General features: G+C 44.5%; 1 protein-coding gene across 6 annotated transcripts in view, besides 2 other annotated features; it reads left to right on the plus strand.

Moving 5' to 3' along the window:
• Positions 9257-20057, plus strand: part of TPX2 (TPX2 microtubule nucleation factor) — a 62511-nt gene continuing 51710 nt past the window's right edge. For 2 of the 6 annotated variants that reach the window (NM_012112.5, XM_011528700.4), the window contains exons 1-2: positions 9257-9588; positions 12508-12614. The gene's annotated coding sequence lies outside the window, so the exon portion shown is untranslated. The remainder of the gene's footprint in view (positions 9589-12507; positions 12615-20057) is intronic. The other 4 variants (XM_011528697.3, XM_047440017.1, XM_011528699.3 and 1 more) reach the window with 2 other exon arrangements.
• Positions 9270-9319: an enhancer, noted in NCBI's record as "active region_17698". NCBI's record gives its function as "activates an Ori minimal core promoter by ATAC-STARR-seq in GM12878 lymphoblastoid cells {active_cell/tissue: GM12878}" and the evidence as "EXISTENCE:reporter gene assay evidence [ECO:0000049][PMID:35858748]".
• Positions 9410-9569: an enhancer, noted in NCBI's record as "active region_17699". NCBI's record gives its function as "activates an Ori minimal core promoter by ATAC-STARR-seq in GM12878 lymphoblastoid cells {active_cell/tissue: GM12878}" and the evidence as "EXISTENCE:reporter gene assay evidence [ECO:0000049][PMID:35858748]".

Raw genomic sequence — 20057 nt, forward strand, 5'->3', positions numbered from 1 at the left:
ACACAGACATTATATGAATATATAAAAATGCGTGTGTGGATAGATATAGATATATGAGGTATCTGTATTTGCATTAAAAAGTCTTCGAATCATTCTTTTTTTTTTTTTTTAAATTGAGATAGGGTCTCCCTCTGTTGCCCAGGCTGGAGTATGGTGGCACAATCATAGTTCACTGCAGCCTCAAACTCCCAGGCTCAAATGATCCTCCCACTTCAGCCTCCTGAGTTGCTGGGACTGCAGGTGTGCACCACCACACCCAGCAATTTTTTTTTTTTTAATTTTTATAGAGACGGGGACTCACTATGTTGCGTAGGCTGGTCTCAAACTGCTACCACCAATCTTACATGTGCTTACTGAAAATAACCCCCTGCGGCTGGGCGCGGTGGCTCACGCCTGTAATCTCAGCACTTTGGGAGGCCGAGGCGGGCAGATCACCTGAGGTCAGGAGTTCAAGACCAGCCTGGCCAACATGGTGAAACCCTGTCTCTACTAAAAATACAAAAATTAGCCAGTGTGGTGGTGCATGCTTATAATCCCAGCTACTCAGGAGGCTGAGGCAGGAGAATCGCTTGAACCTGGGAGGCGGAGATTGCAGTGAGCCAAGATTGCGCCACTGTACTCCAGCTTGGTGGACAGAGCGAGACTCTGCCTTTAAGAAAAAAAAAAAGGGGCGGGCGCGGTGACTTATGCCTGTAATCTCAGCACTTTGAGAGGCTGAGGCAGGTGGATCACGAGGTCAGGAGATCGAGACCATCCTGGCTAACACAGTGAAACCCCGTCCCTACTAAAAATACAAAAAATTAGCTGGGCGTGGTGGCGGGTGACTGTAGTCCCAGCTACTCAGGAGGCTGAGGCAGGAGAATGGCATGAACCCGGCAGGCGGAGCTTGCAGTGAGCCAAGATTGCACCACTGCACTCCAGCCTGGGCGACAGAGCGAGACTCCGTCTCAAAAAAAAAAAAAAAGTTGTTTTGGAACAGTCTCTGGAAGAATAGGCAATAGCCTGTCTGGATGTGGTGGTTACTTTTAATCTCCTCTCTGGTGACTAATCTTCCCTGGTTGTTTGATGAGATTTCTAGGAAGAGAGTTTAAGACAATTGCATTTAATACAATTGGAAGAACTTCCCTCAGTCATATAAGGGAAAGAACTTCCGCAACTGCTCCCTCCTGCTCTTTGGAAGGGAATGATGGGGACAGGGAGCAGAAGGTCAGAGGGAGACCTTGTTTCTGAGGCTTATTTCTGAGGCCTTTCAATCTCCTTTGTTCAAAGCACCCAGCATGCCAAAGCACCATATTTTGGAGCATCATTTTCTGAGCCCCAACACTTGGTTGGATGGAAGACTGGAAGAATAAAAAAAAAAAACAAAAAAAAAACAGTGCCACAGTGCTGACTTTTCTGGGGAACCTTTTTTTTGTTTGTTTTCCGAGACAGGGTATGACTCTGTTGCCCAGGCTAGAGTGCAGCAGTGTAATCATAGCTCACTGCAGCCTTGACCTCCCGGGTCCAAGCGATCCTGGGGATCCTTTTGACAGCTGTCATCAATTATTTATACCTGCAACCTTCTCCAGAGGAGTGTCTTTGGGTGATCGAAGTCACCTCGTTTGGAGGTGTCTGGAAGTTAAGTCATCACCCGGAGCCAATGGAGTAGGAAGCCTCCATGAAGCTGGAAGGCAGGTCCAGATTTCTGGCCTAGTGACCACTAGTTAGATGGTGGAGGGACTAAGAGACACAGAGTGGAGGATCAGATTTGTTAGGGGCAGCAGTAGAGGCTGGTTCTTTCTTTCTCGCTCATTATTTATTATTTTTCGAGACAGGGTCTCATTCTCTCACCCAAGCTGGAGTGAGGTGGCATCATCACAGCACACTGCAGCCTCAACCTCCTGGGCTCAAGCAACCCTCTCATCTCAGCATCCAGAGTAGGTAGGACTATAGGCATGTGCCACCACACCCAGTTAATCTCTCACTTTTTCAAAACAGAGTTTGAGAGCTTAAATAACTTTCTACCTCACTGGCTCCTCCTTCTCTCTCCTTTGCAGTTTTACTATTACAAAAAAAAAAAAAAAGTCTGGGTGTGGTGGCTCATGCCTGTAATCCCAGCATTTTGGGAGGCCGAGGCAGGCGGATCACCTGAGGTTGGGAGTTCGAGACCAGCCTGACCAACATGGAGAAACCCCGTCTCTACTAAAAATAGAAAATTAGCCGGGCGTGGTGGTGCATGCCTGTAATCCCAGCTACTCGGGAGGCTGAGGCAGGAGAATCGCTTTAACTCGGGAGGCGGAGGTTGCAGTAGCCGAGATGGCACCACTGCACACCAGCCTGGGCGACAGAGTGAGACTCCATCTCAAAAATAAATAAAATAAAATAATTACATAAATAAAAAAGAGTGTTGCTGTGTATTATTTGGGTGATTTGAATTTATTTATTTTTATCATTATTTTTTGAGATGGAGTTTCACTCTTGTTGCCCAGGCTGGAGTACAATGGCGCAATCTCAGCTCACCTCAACCTCTGCCTCCCGGATTCGAGCAATTCTCCTGCCTCAGCCTCCCGAGTAGCTGGAACTACAGGCGCCCACCACCACCTGGCTAAGTTTTTTATTTTTAGTAGAGATGGGGTTTCGTCATGTTGGCCAGGCTGGTCTCGAACTCCTGACCTCAGGTGATCCACCCACCTCAGCCTCCTAAAGTGCTGGGATTACAAGCGTGAGCCACCGCACCCAGCTAACATTCTTTTTTTTTTTAATTAAAGACTCAAATTATCTATCCTTTCTCTGTATAAATCCAGTTTAACTTCTCCCCTCTGAATTTCCCATTCTTGTTAGTTTGTTATGAATTTTTCCATAACTTTCTCTCTATATATATATCCACATAGGAGAGGCAGTCCAAGGCAATGGTTAGGGGATTGGTCTCTGGAGTAGGCCTTCCTGGGCTCAAATCTTGATTTTGTCACCACAAAAGCTGTATGATCTCAGATAAATTGTCTAATCTTTTTAAGCCTCAATTTCTACAATCTATAAAATGGGTGTGGTAACATTAACTATCTCATAGGGTTATTGTTAGGATATATGAGTTAATATGTGTAAAATACTTCTAATAGTGGTTAGCATGTGGTAAGTACTAATGGTTACTTATACACACCCATGGGAAAAGTGGAACATTATTTTGAGTATTTTAAAAACATAATGATGTCATAATGAATTTATGTCAATCAGCAATTCATTTTTTTGAGACGGAGTTTCACTCTTGTTGCCCAGGCTGGAGTGCAGTGGCGCGATCTCAGCTCACTGCAACCTCCGCCTCCCGGGTTGAAGTGATTCTCCTGCCTCAGCCTCCTGAGTGGTGGGATTACAGGCGCCCACCACCACGCCTGGCTAATTTTGTATTTTTAGTAGACACCGGGTTTCACCATGTTGGCCAGGCTGGTCCCAAACTCTTGACCTCAGGTGATCCACCTGCCTCAGCCTCCCAAGGTGCTGGGATTACATGCATGAGCCACCGCGCCCAGCCATGCAATTCATTTTTTTTAACTCAAAAATATATCTCAAAGATCCTCTCCTGTCAGTCCAGATCCATGGAACTTTTTTAAACTGCTGCTTAGTGTTCCATTCTGTAGGCAGTTGATTGAAATATTCCTCGATTTGTGAAAATTTAGGTGGTTTCCAATTTCTTACAACTACATTGCAATGAACTACTAATTGATTTCCTTATTTCCACTCTTGTTCCCTTCCCTCGATGATAACTGAAATTGTGAACAGAGTGGACCAGATGTGTCTATCCTTCTTTCCAGCCCTGAAATTCTGCTTCAGTGATTCAGACCACATAGTCTCCCATTCACAGAGAACGAGAACTTGAAGCTCAGCCTAACATAAGCAGGTAAAATGATAGGAGAGGAAACTCTTGGACCAGGCTTACCTCCTGTTCATTTGGAAGGAATTGGGAAGCTCTTGCATACATCCTGGCCTCCTGGCATTGCCTCATTCATTCATTTATTCATTCAGTCAGTTACCTTCTGCCTAGTAGTCCCCAGACAACAATAGTTCTGATGCTTCTTCCTTCCTAATATAAGGCAAACTACCTTTACCCCCACCTTGACCCAAGCCTGTCTACTCCATTGTTGGCAGGCACATGCCTGGTTGTTGGGTGATGTGGGTGCTGAAAGTGGGACAGTCACAGCCCAGGCAGACCCCTGCCCTCCCTTTGCCCCACCATCTATCCAGCTCCTGCCTTTCTCCTTGTATTGCCATCCACACTTCAGGGCCTCGCGAGCAAATGGTTTTGCATTTATCACCTGCTAATACACTAGATCATTTACTTATTTATCTCATCTGGCATCTGTCTTCTCCCCTAGAATAACAGTTCCACGAGGACAGGAATTTTGTCTGTCTTTTTACTGTGGTATCCCCACACTTAGTATGGTGACTTGGCACATAGCAGGTGCTCAATAAATGCTGCAGCAACTGGGCATTTGTGTGACTGGATGAGTGTTATCTCTTGGAATGAAACCTAGAAATGGAAGTCCTACATCATAGGGCATACTTATTTGACATTTTAATAGTTGTCAATAGGCTGAGCGCAGTGGCTCACACCTGTAATCTCTGCATTTTGGGAGGCTGAGGCGGGCAGATCACCTGTGGTCAGGAGTTCCAAACCAGCCTGGCCAACATGGTGAAACCCCGTCTCTACTAAAAACTAAAAAATTAGCTGGGCGTCATAGTGGGTGCCTGTAATCCCAGCTACTCAGGAGGCTGATGCAGGAGAATCACTTCCCGGAAGGGGGAGGTTCAGTGAGCCGAGATCACGCCATTGCACTCCAGCCTGGGTGAAAGAGCGAAATTTTGTCTCAAAAAAAAAAAAAATTAAAAAATTAGCCGGGCATGCTGTGAGGTGCTTGTAATCCCAGCTACTCAGGGAGGCTGAGGCACAAGAATTGTTTGAACCCAGGAGTCAGAAGTTGTAGTGAGCTGAGATTGTGCCACTACATGCCAGCCTGAGCGACAGACAGAGACTCTGTCTCAAAAAAAAAAAAAATAGTTGTCAATAGTTGTCCACACCCATCTATACTCCTACCTGCTGAGTTACCTTACAAATTTCTGATACTATCAAACTTTTAATTTTGGTTAATCTGATGGGTGAAAAATGGAACTTTCTTGTTTCAATTTCCTTTATTATAGTGAGGCTGAGCACCTTCATGTGTTTGATGGCCAGTTTTGTTTCTTCTTTTTTTTAGTGGAGGGTTGGGGGACAGGATCTTGCTCTGTCTCCCAGGCTGGAGTGTAGTGGCCTGATTTCAGCTCACTGCAACCTCCACCTTCCAGGTTCAGACGATCTTCCCACCTCAGCCTCTGGAGTAGCTGGGACTACAGGTGAGTACCACCATGCCCAGCTAATTTTTGTTTTTGTTTGTTTGTTTTTTTTGAGACAGAGTCTCACTCTGTCACCCAGGATGGAGTGCAATGGCATGGTCTTGGCTCACTGCAACCTCTGCCTCCTGGGTTCAAGCGATTCTCCTGCCTCAGCCTCCTGAGTAGCTGGGACTACAGGTGCGTACCACCATACCTGGCTAATTTTTGTATTTTTTGTAGAGACGGGGTTTCATTATGTTGGCCAGGCTGGTCTCAAACTCCTGACCTCGTGACCCCCCCTCCTCAGCCTCCCAAAGTGCTGGGATTACAGGCATGAGCCACTGTGCCAGGCCTATTAAGTTTTGTATTTTTTGTAGAGAAGGGGTTTTGCCATGTTGCCCAGGCTGGTCTCGAACTCCTGACCTCAAGTGATCTGCCCCCGCCCCCCACCCCCGGCCTCCTGAAGTGCTGGGATTACAGGCGTGAGCCACTGCGCCTGGCCTACTAAATTCTGATATACATGAGTTCTGGATTTTGTTTTTGTTTTTAAAGACAGGACCCAGCTCTGTCGCCCAGGCTGGAGAATCATGGCTCGCTGCAGCCTTGACCTCCCAAGCTCAAGTGATCCTCATACCTCAGCTTCTTGAGTAGCTGGGACTACAGGTACGCACCACCTCACCTGGCTAATTTTAAAAGTTTTTTGTATCTTGCCATGTTGTCCAGGCTGATTTCAAACTCCTGGCTCAAGCAATCTTCCCGCCTCTGCTTTCCAAAGTGCTAAGATTACAGGCATGAGCCACCATAACTGGCTGAGTGTGTTTCTGGACTCTTAAACTCTTCTACTGATTTCCCCCACTTTTAACTTCTACGACAATACCATACTTAAAAATACCTTTATTTATTTATTTATTTTTGAGATGGAGTTTCACTCTTGTTGCCCAGGCTGGAGTGCAATGGCGCGATCCTGGCTCACCACAACCTCCACCTCCCGGGTTCAAGCGATTCTCCTGCCTCAGACTCCCGAGTAGCTGGGATTACAGGCGCCTGCCACCATGCCCGGTTAATTTTCTATTTTTAGTAGAGACGGGGTTTCTCCATGTTGGTCAGGCTGGTCTGGAACTCCCGACCTGAGGTGATCTGGCCGCCTTGGCCTCCCAAAGTGCTGGGATTACAGGCATGAGTCACTGTGCCCAGCAAAAATACTTTTTTTTTTTTTGAGACGGAGTCTTGCTCAGTCACCCAGGCTGGAGTGCAGTGGCGCGATCTTGGCTCACTGCAAGCTCCGCCTCCCGGGTTCATGCCATTCTTCTGCCTCAGCCTCCCAAGTAGCTGGGACTACAGGCACCCGCCACCATGCCCGGCTAATTTTTTTTGTATTTTTAGTAGAGACAGGGTTTCACCGTGTTAGCCAGGATGGTCTCAGTCTCCTGACCTCGTGATCCACCCGCCTCGGTCTCCCAAAGTGCTGGGATTACAGGCGTGAGCCACCGCGCCAGGCCAAAAATACCTCTTTTTAGACAAGGTGCCATGGCTCATGCCTGTAATCCCAGCACTGTGGGAGGCTGAGGTGGGAAGATCACTTGAGTCTGGGAGGTTGGGGTTGGAGTGAGCCGTGATCCTGCCACTGCACTCCAGCCTGGGTGACAGCAAGACCCTATCTCAAAATAACAAAACAACCACCACAACAACTACCACTCCCCCATCCCTTTGTTTTTGAGGTAGAGTCTTGCTCTGTCGCCCAGGCTGGAGTGCAATGGCACCATCTTGGCTCACTGCAACCTCTGCCTCCTGGGTTTAAGTGATTCTCCTGCCTCAGCCTTCCAAGTAGCACCAGGCAACCACCCCATTTTAATTGTGGAAAATTTCAAACTCATACAAGAGTATATGTATGTATTTATGTATCATGAACCCATCACCAGGTTCAACAATTATCAATTTGTAGCTAATCTTGTTTCATCTAAATCCCCACCTACTTATCTTCACTGCCTACTCCCAATTATTTGGAAGCCAGTGCCAGAGTAATTTCATCCCTACCGTATCTATATGTATCTCTACAACACAAGGACTCTTAAAAAAGAAAACAAAAGGTGTGGTGGCTCACACCTGTAGTCCCAGCACTTGGGAGGGTGAGGCGGGGGCATCACCCGAGGTCAGGTGTTCGAGACTAGCCTGGTCAACATGGTGAAACCCCGTCTCTATCAAAAAATATAAAAATTAGCCGGGTGTGGTGGCGCATTTTTAATCCCGGGTACTTGGGAGGCTGAGGCAGGAGAAACCGGGAGGCGGAGGTTGCAGTGAGCTGAGATCACACCGTTGCACTCCAGCCTGGGCTACAAGAACGAAACTCCGTCTCAAAAAACAAAATGAAACAAAACAACAACAACAAAAAGAAAACAAAACCAAACTCTGGCAGTTTATGTTTTGAAGGAACTAAATTGTCCTGTGGTTTTCCTGTCTGGATTTTGCCGATTGCACCCCCATGGGTGTGAATTAACTGAACCATACTTTAAAAATTACTATAATTTCATGTTAATATGTACAAAATCTGTACATAAATCCCCCAATCTTTTTCAAAATTCAAGATGCCAGTACTTGTACTCTTCCATAGGAACTTTAGAATTAACTTGGCAAATTCCAGAACAGAACCCACTGGGACTTTCATTGGAATTGCCTTGACCTTTTTTTTTTTGTTTTGAGACAGAGTCTCGCTCTGTTGCCCAGGCTGGAGTGCAGTGGTGCAATCTTGGCTCACTGCAACCTCCGCCTCCTGGGTTCAAGTGATTCTCCTGCCTCAACCTCCCAAGTAGCTGTGATTACAGGCACGCGCGAGCACGCCCGGCTAATTTTTGTATTTTTAGTAGAGATGGGGGGGGGTTTCAACATTTTGGCCAGGCTGGTCTCGAACTCATCGCCTCAAGTGATCTGCCTGTCTCGGCCTCCCAAAGTGCTGGGATTACATGCGTGAGCTACCGCACCCAGCCTAGGCTTAATTTTTGAATCTTTAGCTTTTGCTGGTATTATGAAGGGGGTTGTTTTGTTGTTCTTGTTGCTGCTATTTTCTAATTGATTAAAAAAAATTAAGATGGTGGGGGTGGTCTCGTTATGATGTCTACGCTGTTCTGGAACTCTTGGTCTCAAGGGATCCTTCTGCTTTAGCCTCCTGTGGAGCTGGGATTATAGGTGAGCGCCACGAAGCCCGGCCTCTAATTAATTATCGGTGGTGTATAAAAAGAACAGACCTTCTTAATTCGAATCCCATCTTCTCCATTTATTATGTGATTTTGGACATGTTTGTTCAACTTCTCCTAGACTTTGTTTTCTTTTTACGACATGGGGATCATAAAGCCGGGATGCAGTTGGGAATAAAACCGGATAAAGCTCCCAACGAACCGCGGGTTTCATAAGATCAGGGCAGGGACTGGGTAAAAGGTTTCAAAGACTCCTGCACTATTGGGAAGGACGCTACGGGCGAGTCTATGTTGCATGCAGGCGACTCCATGTTAAGACGAAGTGAACTCCCTGAACCTTCAAGGGATAATGCACAACCATAACGAGAATAATTTTTAAAAATAGAGTTTTCTTCCCTGAAAACTTGGAGAGGTCCAGGATGCGCGCCATTCTGTGATCTAGGTTGACTCTCCACCTCTTCAGTTGGTACCACCTTTCCCAAATAGTTTGGAGCAGAGCACTCCGGTCTTTGTAATAACGTACTCCTAAGAGCTGTTCCAGTGGACTCACGCAGGCGCAGGAGACTACACTTCCCAGGAACTCCGGGCCGCGTTGTTCGCTGGTACCTCCTTCTGACTTCCGGTATTGCTGCGGTCTGTAGGGCCAATCGGGAGCCTGGAATTGCTTTCCCGGCGCTCTGATTGGTGCATTCGACTAGGCTGCCTGGGTTCAAAATTTCAACGATACTGAATGAGTCCCGCGGCGGGTTGGCTCGCGCTTCGTTGTCAGATCTGAGGCGAGGCTAGGTGAGCCGTGGGAAGAAAAGAGGGAGCAGCTAGGGCGCGGGTCTCCCTCCTCCCGGAGTTTGGAACGGCTGAAGTTCACCTTCCAGCCCCTAGCGCCGTTCGCGCCGCTAGGCCTGGCTTCTGAGGCGGTTGCGGTGCTCGGTCGCCGCCTAGGCGGGGCAGGGTGCGAGCAGGGGCTTCGGGCCACGCTTCTCTTGGCGACAGGATTTTGCTGTGAAGTCCGTCCGGGAAACGGAGGAAAAAAAGAGTTGCGGGAGGCTGTCGGCTAATAACGGTAACGATAATTATTGTTATTACCATGCTAACAGGTTATAAACATTGACTGAACTAAGCACCCTGCATGCCCGTTCTCATTTAATTTCCTCGCCAAGCCAATGTAGTTGGTGCTATTCTTGGTCCCTCTTGACAGAAACTGAGGAAGGAGGAAGGAGGAGGAAACTGAGGCCCAGAATCTAGATAAATTTCGAGAAATGGGTGATACAGTAGCCATGCCCTCAGGAAGTGTGGCGTTTGATGGAGGAAAACAGAGGTAGTCACAAATAAGTACATTTCAAAACTGTTGTCTAAAACAGGAAGATAATTAGATGGTGTGAGAACATAATTGAGGGAGAGTTTAAGTCCACTTGGAGTTGTCTTCTATTTGGGATTTAAAATTCATTATATGTTATCCATATTTGTCCAGCTCTCTTTTTGTATGGAATCACCAGATATTATTCCCTTTCTCATTTCCTTTCTCAACATTTATAGATTGGAGGGGGGAAGGAAAACCAAACCAGGTTATAATGTAGAATTGGTTTACCCCCTATTTTCTTGACATATAACGTCTGGTTTTCCACATATAATTTTCTAGTAGTTCAGTAACATGGACTCCCCCCAAATCAGGCCTACTTAGGATAGAAGAGGATTTTTGACTCCTGGATTTTGCTTTAAGACCAGCTCTTGGTTTACTTCCTGCTTCACCCTTACCTTTTCTTGACATCCTGTGGCCTCTCTTTGAATTTCTCTCACTCATCAAATGTTGTCAAAAATAGGACTACTTGCTGCTGTAGTAAGGATATTCTTGTATTGTGGCCTTAGTGTATTACATCACCCCCACGTCAGACTTGAGTCCCCCTGGTTGGTTTGGGTGAGTCAGTTCAGTATTAAGCTGGCATTCTTGGATCAAAATTATGTGGCTGTCAGCTAACTCAGCCATTTAGTTGACCTTTGAGGGTACTGTGCTCAGATTGGCATGAGATATTATGGGTGTACAGATATATGATGTACTCAAACGTTTTTTGGTATGTTTGGGGACAAAAACATGGTTTGAAATTGGCAAGTGAGAATCAGAGCAAGATAGGACACCATCTGGGTGCTCTACTGTTTTGTATTCTAGGTGTCTGGACAATTTAGAGGTGAGGGAGTTCAAGAGCCAGTTTGTGTTTCTGTGCTTCACAAAGCCACCCTTGTCTAATTCTTGATAACCAGAGTTTGGTTAGACAGGGACTGAAACAATCCTAGTGCATAGGAATCACCCACTAAATACCTGTTGAATTGAGTAGGCAGGAAGGCACTATCTGAATTGACTACAAAATTGCGGGTATGAAAAACTGGATTGTATTCAACTAGGTTGGTAAATTTGTTTAGACTTTCAAATTATCTGAATAGGGTTTATTTGGCCAACCTTATGCATAAATCTGTGTATTCCAACCTTGATAAAATTAATTTATTGCAATTAAGTTTGTCCAGGATTATGTGAGAGAGTCCTTCATTTCATTTCTTTAGTTACCAGGAGATGTTCAGGGCTCATCTACATCTCCTGGTTAATTTTCCTTCAGCTTTTTCTGTGTCTCTTCCCTAATTCTCTTTGAGTTCCTGGGAGAAAGAGGAGGGATATTTAAATGCCCTTTGACATACTTAATTTTCTTTGCTATGGGCAAAGTTAGGAAGCAAAATTGACTATAGAGTTGTTTTTTTTGTTTTTGTTTTTGTTTTTTTTTTTTGAGACGGAGTCTCACTCTGTCGCCCAGGCTGGAGTGCAGTGGCGCGATTTCAGCTCACTGCAACTTCTGCCTCCCCTGTTCAAGCAATTCTCCTACCTCAGTCTCTTGAGTAGCTGGGATTATAGGGATCTGCCACCACACCCGGCTAATTTTTGTATTTTTTTTTTGAGATGGCATCTCACTTTGTTACCTAGGCTGGAGTGCAATGGTGCGCTCTCGGCTCACTGCAACCTCCGCCTCCTGGGTTCAAGCAATTCTCCTGCCTCAGCCTCCCAAGTAGCTGGGACTACAGGCGCATGCCACCACACCCGGCTAGTTTTTTTGTATTTTTAATAGAGATGGGGTTTCACCATGTTAGCCAGGATGGTCTCAATCTCCTGACCTCGTAATCTGCCTGCCTCGGCCTCCCAAAGTGCTGGGATTACAGGTGTGAGCCACTGTGCCTGGCCTAATTTTTGTATTTTTAGTAGATACAGGGTTTCACCACGTTGGCCAGGCTAGTCTCAAACTCCTTATCTCAGGTGATCCACCTGCCTCGGCCTCCCAAAGTGCTGGGATTACAGGTGTGAGCCACCTTGCCTGGCCTTAGAGAGATTTCATAACCCAAGCGATTCTGTGAATAGATCTGTATTTGAGACAGAGATGTAGAGATCAGCAGCCCAAGGTACTCTGTGAAAAAAGGATAGATAACTGCGGAGGGCTTCCGTTTTTGTTTGTGTAGGGAAACTTGGTAAAAGGGGAATAAAGAACAGTGAGAAAAGTATAAAATTGTATCTAGAGGTTACTTTGGAAATTAAAAATAATGTTATTTGTACTTAGTAAAACAAAGTAGTAAAAGTTTGCTCTTTTTTTTTTTTTTTTTTTGAGACAGTCTCACTGTGTTGCTCAGGCTGGAGTGCACTGGCTGGCGCAATCTTGGCTCACTGAAGCTTCCGCTTCCCAGGTTCAAGCGATTCTCCTGCCTCAGTGTCCCGAGTAGCTGGGATTGCAGGCGTGCACCACCATGCCTGGCTAATTTTTGTATTTTTAGTAGAGATGGGGTTTCACCATGTTGGCCAGGCTGGTCTTGAACTCCTGACCTCAAGTGATCCACCTGCCTTGGCCTCCCAAAGTGCTGGGATTATAGGCGTGAGCCACTGCTCCCGGCCTGTTAACCCTTTTTTACTACAGAGAACTTGGAACCTGTTTCATCACTTTTCTGCTTCTTCCAGGTTCTTGATACATATTTGCCAGACTTCAAGATTTCAGAAAAGGGGTGAAAGAGAAGATTGCAACTTTGAGTCAGACCTGTAGGCCTGATAGACTGATTAAACCACAGGTAAGGCAGTGACCATAGGAATAAGGAACATTAATATATCAGCTTCATAAGTGTTTAAATGACTAATGTAATTTTATAAAGTAACACATATTTTGGAAGGAAATTTATTTATTATGAAAAGCAAAAAGAAAATAAAATCACCCACTATCCCACCTCTCAGATAAACCATGGTTAGCCTTTTGATAGATTTCTTTATAATTTTTTTCTATGTCTATATAGTCATTCCTTGATATCCATGGGGAATTGGTTCTAAGACCTTCCCAGGATATCAAAATTCTCATATGCGGCCGGTTACTGTGGCTTATGTCTGTAATCCCAGCACTTTGGGAGGCTGAGGCAGGCGGATCACCTGAGGTCAAGAGTTTGAAACCGGCTGGCCAACATGGCAAAACCCCATCTCTACTAAAAATACAAAAATTAGCTGGGTGTGGTGGTGCGCATCTGTAATCTCAGCTACTTGGGAGACTGAGGCAGGAGAATCCCTTGAACCCGGGAGGCAGAGGCTGCAAGTGAGCCAAGATCTCATCACTGCACTCCAGCCAGCAAGACTCTGTCTCAAAACAAACAAAACAAAATTCTCAGATGCTCAAGCCCTGGTATAAAATGATGTGTAGTATTTGCATATAGCTTATGTACATACTCCCACATACTTTAAATTATCTCTAGATTACTTATAATACTTAATACAATGTAAATGCTATGTAAATAGTTGTTATACTGTATTGTTTAGGGAATAATGACAAGAAAAAAAGTCTAGGCTGGGTACAGTGGCTCAGGCCTGTAATCCCACCACTTTGGGAGACTTAAATAGGAGGATTGCTTGAGGCCAGGAGTTCGCGACCAGCCTGGGCAACATAGTGGCACCGTGTCTCTACAAAAAAAATAAAACATAAAAAAATTTAACCGGGCGTGGTGGCACCTACTTGTAGTCCCAGCTACTTGGGGGGCCAAGGTGAAGGGTCACTTAAGCCAAGGAGTTTGAGGTTACGGTGAGCTGAGGGCACCACTGCACTCCAACCTGGGTGGCAGAAAGAGACCCTGTCTCAAAAAAAGTCTGTACATATGCAGTACAGATGCAGTTTTTTTTTTTTTTTTTGAGGCAGAGTTTCGCTCTTGTTGCCCAGGCTGGAGTGCAATGGTGCAATCTCAGCTTACCGTAACCTCCGCCTCCCAGGTTCAGGCGATTCTCCTGTCTCAGCCTCCCGAGTAGCTGGGACTACAGGCATGCCACACCTGGCTAATTTTGTATTTTTAACAGAGATGGGGTTTCTCCATGTTGGTCAGGCTGGTCTCGAACTCCTGACTTCAGGTGATCTGCCCGCCTCTGCCTCCCAAAGTGCTAGGATTACAGGCGTGAGCCACCGTGCCTGGCCTTGCAGTTTTTTTTCCCCCAAATATTTTTGATCTGCAGTTGATTGAATCCACAGATATGGAACTCATAGATACGGACAGCCAACTGTATTTCATTTTTAAAAAAATCATACACTAAAAACTTTTGTTAATTTTTTTAACTTTTTTTTTTTTTTTTTTTTGAGTCGGAGTCTCACTCTGTCGCCCGGGTTGGAGTGCAATGGCGCGATCTCTGGCTCAATGCAACCTCCGCCTCCCAGGTTCAAGCAATTCTCCTGCCTCAGCCTCCCGAGTAGCTGGGATTACAGGCACCCGCAACCACACCCGGCTATTTTTGTGTTTTTAGTAGAGACGGTTTCACCATATTGGCCAGGCTGGTCTCAAACTCCTGACCTCATGATCTGCCCACCTCGGCCTCCCAAAGTGCTGGGATTGAGGCTTGAGCCACCACGCCCGGCCTCTAATTTTTTTAACTTAATAATCAGGCTATGAATATTTTCCCGTGTCATTAATAAATTTTCTTCTCTTTTCTTTTTTGTTTTTTTTGAGACAGGGTCTTGCTCTGTCACCCAGGCTGGAGTGTGCACTTCAGTGGCGTGATCACAGCTCACTGCAGCCTCCATCTCCTGGGCTCAAGTGATCTTCCTGCCTTAGCCTCTCGAGTTGCTGAAACTACAGGTGCATGCCACTGTACCTGGCCAAATTTTTCTACAACATAATTTTAATGGCTATATGGTATTCCATTATTTGGTTCTTTATATTACTTTTACCAGTGAAATTGCTGGTCTAAAAGAATGCGTATTTTTGGCCGGGCGCGGTGGCTCACGCCTGTAATCCCAGCACTCTGAGGAGGCTGAGGCGGGCAGATCACCTGAGGTCAGGAGTTCAAGACCAGCCTGGCTAACATGGTGAAACCCTGTCTCTACTAAAAATACACAAATTAGCCAGGCATGATGACGGGTGCCTGTAATCCCACTTACTCGGGAGGCTGAGGTGGAAGAATCACTTGAACCTGGGAGGTGGAGGTTGCAGTGAGCCGAGATCGCGCCATTGCACTACTGCAGCCTAGGCAACAGCGAGACTCCATCTCAAAAAACAAACAAACAAAACATATTTTTAAAAACTTTTGACATGTAACACCAAATTGCCTTGTAGGAAGATTATGCTGATTTACCTAAAACAGTATATATTCACATAGGCATAAATGTATAACTTAAAATAGGTAATATATTTGCATGGTGCAAAAATCAAAAGAATATAAAAAGCTTCATGGTTTAAAATCTTCCTCCAGCCTTGTTACTTCTTCACTCTCACCATCCATAGGTAAACACTTTTTTTTTTTTTTTTTTGGAGACAGAGTCTCACTCTGTCAACCAGGCTGGAATACAGTGGCACAATCTCAGCTTACTGCAACCTCTGCCTCCCTGGTTCAAGTGATTCTCCTGCCTCAGCCTCCCGAGTAGCTAGGATTACAGGCACGCCACCACACCTGGCTAATTTTTGTATTTTTATTAGAGATGGGGTTTTGCCATATTGGCCAGGCTGGTCTTGAACTCCTGACCTCAGGTGATCCACCTGCCTTGGCCTCCCAGAGTGCTGGGATTACAGGCATGAGCCATCTAATAAACACTTTTATTAGGTTCTTGGGTTTGAGTGTTTGTGTGTTATTCCCCAAACCAGATACCTTTTGAAGGGAATAAATCTCTATAAAATGAAATGACTGCTATTTGACTAGGATTGTAATCTGCAGCCACACTGTCAACCATTACAAACTTTTTCAGCTTCATACTATTGGAATATCAGATTACTTTGGGTTTCTACTAAGATTTCCTTTTAGTATTTTACAAAGCTCTCTGTCATTATCTGTCCTAGTAGTAAACAGCATCATTGATTTCCATCTAGGTCCTATTAGTCATAGGTGGATTATGGTTTGTTGAGTTCTATGGATAAATTATAGCAAAACTGAGTTTGTAATCCTTAAAAAAGGGCAATATGAAACATACAAGTTTGGGAGAGAAATGATAGGAAATATATTTGCTTGAAGTTTCTGGACAGTGATGAATTAGAACAAGTGTCCATGTGTCCTGTGCTGACTTCTGAGTGTTGGACAGTGAGGGATTGTCATTGGATTTTAAATTGACCCAATTTTGGAAGCTTCATAGATCTGTTTCTGTAAACAGATCCAATTTCAACATAGAAGTTAGCAAACATAAATGTGGAAACACAAAGTCCATTAAACTTCCTTCAGACTTAGTTTGTGACTTTGATTAACAGTTAAAATTGCATGCTGGATTATGTTGCCATTTACTGACTGCTGCTAATCCCTTATATACAAGAAAAAAATGTAGGTGTTTTCTCTCTGGGTAAGATGAAAGTAACTCCACTCTATTTTACTTGTGGTAATGTAACAGGATCTCTTATCCCTTGTGAAAGTAGGAGAGGATGTCCCTGGAGAAATGGCACTGCCTGGGATGGGACCATCTTAACTAACTATACTTCTAATGAAGTCTTGTCTTACTCTGTTTATTCTATTATATTACCAGTTTAACTCATGACTTTCTCTTTAATAGAAATAGGCAAGTCATATCTCACTGACTGGATAGCAAGGTGTTTGAGAGCATCTGTCACACCAAAGTCTTTGTTTTGCTCAGGAGCTGGTAGTCCCCTATTTCACCCTGCTTAGAATGCACCCTCTTGCAGCTTTCCCCAACCCGGTCTGAACCTGCACCTTTTGATTTATAGAGCTTGTCAAGACTAGTTATTTTTGGTTTGAGAGTGAAGAAAGATGGGAGGCAATGGGAGGTTAATTTCAGATGAATGTGGGAACAGGTTACATTGCTTTGTCTGCAATCTTCCTAATTTGTATTTGTCTTCCCCTTCCATTTATCTCTTACCCTAGAAAAAGTCAACGTTCATTCTTAGCTTGTAGAACTCCGCAGGTCTGTCTGTATCTTTTAAGTATTTTTTACATCAGGAAACCATCTCTGATCCTCTTTTATGCTGTTCTCCTTCTCTGCACTTCCAGAGCGCTCTCTGTTAATGCCCTCTTGCAGCAAGGATAGCCCTATATTGTAATTGTTTGCATTCCCCCATTCAATTGTGCGTTCTTGGAGGGAAGAGATTTTTTTTTGTTGTTGTTGTTTGAGAAGGAGTCTCGCTCTGTCCCAGGCTGGAGTGCAGCGGTGCAATCTCGGCTCACTGCAGCCTCCACCTCCTGGGTTCAAGCTATTTTCCTGCCTCAGCCTCCCGAGTAGCTGGGATTAAAGGCACGTACCCACCACGCCCGCTAATTTTTGTATTTTTAGTAGAGACGGGTTTCACCATGTTGGCCTGGCTGATCTCGAACTCCTGACTTCGTGATCCGCCTGCCTTGGCCTCCCAAAGTACTGGGATTACAGGCATAAGTCACTGTGCCCGGCCGAGATTTTATATCTCTATCTCTGTCTGTCTGTCTGTCTGTCTGTCTATCTATCTATCTATCTATCGTTTTAGTCTTCGCTTTTTGGAAACAAAAATGGGCTATAAGACACGATGGATGGCATTGAATAGGCAGTTTTTAGAGGAACCTAATTGGTTCATAGCATACAGGATAGGCTTTTTCCTTGGGTCTTTGTAGGAATATTGGTCATTAATAGCTATTTTTCCATGCAGAATATTTCTAGTTTTGCAAGAATCTGAAGCTGTGGTAGATTCAGATAATTTTGAAATGTGAAGCTGATTCTCTTGCTTGGCAACTTGATTTGTTTGGGGGAATGTGGTTGACGCATGTGCCTTTTTTTTTTTTTTTTTTTTGGTGAGACCTGTTGACAGAAATTCAATCTTGATTAAGGGACGCAGGAAGGCATCCAGTTCCCACCATGCCTGGGGCTCTCTCATTTAAACAGCTGCCTTTGGCTCTGGCCTGTTCCATTTCCCACTAGGCCCTGTGGACTTTAATTTTGGAAGATTTCACATCCTCATATTTATTATTTCTGGGGGAGGTAGTGTCGTGAAACCGAAATTACCCAGTAGTTAGCTTTTCGTTTTCTTGATGTACTTGTCCTATCAGCCTTAATTGAAGAGAGTCAGACTTCTCAATGGATATGTATTTATTTATTCTCTTTTTCCAGGGAGAGGGGATGGTCTCCTGAGTTGGCCATTCTAGACCAAAATATAGCTTAAAAGAAGCTTTTTTAAAGAACAGGTCATGTTAGGAAAATAATATTTTGTTTTTAAAATTTCACCTAAAGATTAAGTGTACTTAGGTTTGCACCCCTCGCCGTTTGTTCCCCACTAATCAAATGTAGTCTTAGACCTCAGAGGACAGCCTTTCTTCTGCTGCTTGAACCCTCTTCATAGTCTCTTTACTCTAGAATATCACTGAGGTTTTCACTAACCACCATCTTATATAGAGGAAAAACTTCATATGGAAAAGTATACTTAAAAAAAGAGGAATCAATGGATTTTTTAAAAAATTTATGGGAAGATTCAGATCAGAGCTTTCCAAATATATTTATAACAGGATTTGTAATTTGCTAAAGTTTTCTTTATGAGCATATCAGGGATGCTTAGTTTTCATAAAGGGCAGGATTTGTCTTTGTTGAACAGGATCTTATGATTTGATTACCTACCTCCTTTTTGAAGCAATGTTTATAGGAAAACTTGTGCATTAGAGAGACCCCAGATTTTGGAATCCTGCAGACTTGTTCTTTTAAAACTCAACACTGCTATGTATTAGTTTGGTGATCTTGGAATAGTGTAACTTCTCTGAGCTTGTTTCCTTGTTTATAAAATGGTGATGGTAGCATTTATTTATAAAGACATCTATCTATTGTCTATATTGTTAATGCAGTTTAAACGAGATGATTTATGTGAAGTGTCTGGTAAGGTGCCTGGCCTACAGTAGACAGTATTTGGAAGTTATTATCTCTTGCTCCATGACATTTGTTATTTATCTATTTAAATGTGAATTTTTTTTTTTTTTTTTGAGACAGAGTCTTGCTTTGTTGCCCAGGCTGGAGTGCAGTGGCGCGATCTCGGCTCACTGCAACCTCCGCCTCCTGGGTTCACGCCATTCTCCTGCCTCAGCCTCCCGAGTAGCTGGGACTACAGGCATCCACCACCACGCCTGGCTAATTTTTTTGTATTTTTAGTAGAGACGGGGTTTCACTGTGTTAGCCAGGATGGTCTCAATCTCTTGACCTCATGATCCACCCGCCTCGGCCTCCCAAAGTGCTGGGATTACAGGCGTGAGCCACCGCGCCCAGCTTAAATGTCTATTTTTAAATAAATAGGCAGTGGATAAGAACACCACCTTCGGTGTCTATTCCATTTGGAATCCTGGCTTTACTGCTTCTTAGCTGCATGACTGTGAATAAGTAGTAAATCTCTCTGTGCCTCAAGTCCCTCAGTATAGAATGAAGATAATAACAGTACCTACTTTATAGGATTATTGTGAGGATTTAGTGAGTTAATACATGTAAGACACTGTCAACAGTGTCTGGCATGTCATAAGTGCTCATTAAGTAATAGCTGTTGGCCGGGCACGGTGGCTTACGCTAGTAATCCCAGCAGTTTGGGAGGCTGAGGCGGGTGGATCACTTGAGGTCAGGAGTTCAAGACCAGCCTGGCCAACATGGTGAAACCCCGTCTACTAAAAATACAAAAAATTAGTTGGGCATGGTGGCAGGTGCCTGTAATCCCAGCTACTCAGGAGGCTGAGGCAGGAGAATCACATGAACCCGTGAGCCAGAGGTTGCAGTGAGCCAAGATTGTGCCACTGCATTCCAGCCTGGGCGACAAGAGTGAAACTCTGTCTCAAAAAAAAAGAAAAAAGTTAATAGCTGTTTTTATTTTTAACTTTTTCAAATTTATATACCCTTTTATTAAGTCAATGCCCCAGGAATCATTTTTAGTTCTATATAGAAATCTTATTATTTGTTTATTTTTAATTTTTTAAATTAATTATTATTATATTTTTGAGATGGAGTCTTACTCTGTTGCCAGGCTGGAGTGCAGTGGCACGATCTTGGCTCACTGGAACCTCCTCCTCCCGGGTTCAAGCTATTCTCCTGCCTCTGCCTCCCGAGTAGCTGGGACTACAGGCGCATGCCA

The sequence above is a fragment of the Homo sapiens genome, chromosome 20 (genome assembly GCF_000001405.40).
Source record: "Homo sapiens chromosome 20, GRCh38.p14 Primary Assembly".
In the NCBI taxonomy this organism is placed as follows: Eukaryota; Metazoa; Chordata; class Mammalia; order Primates; family Hominidae; genus Homo; species Homo sapiens.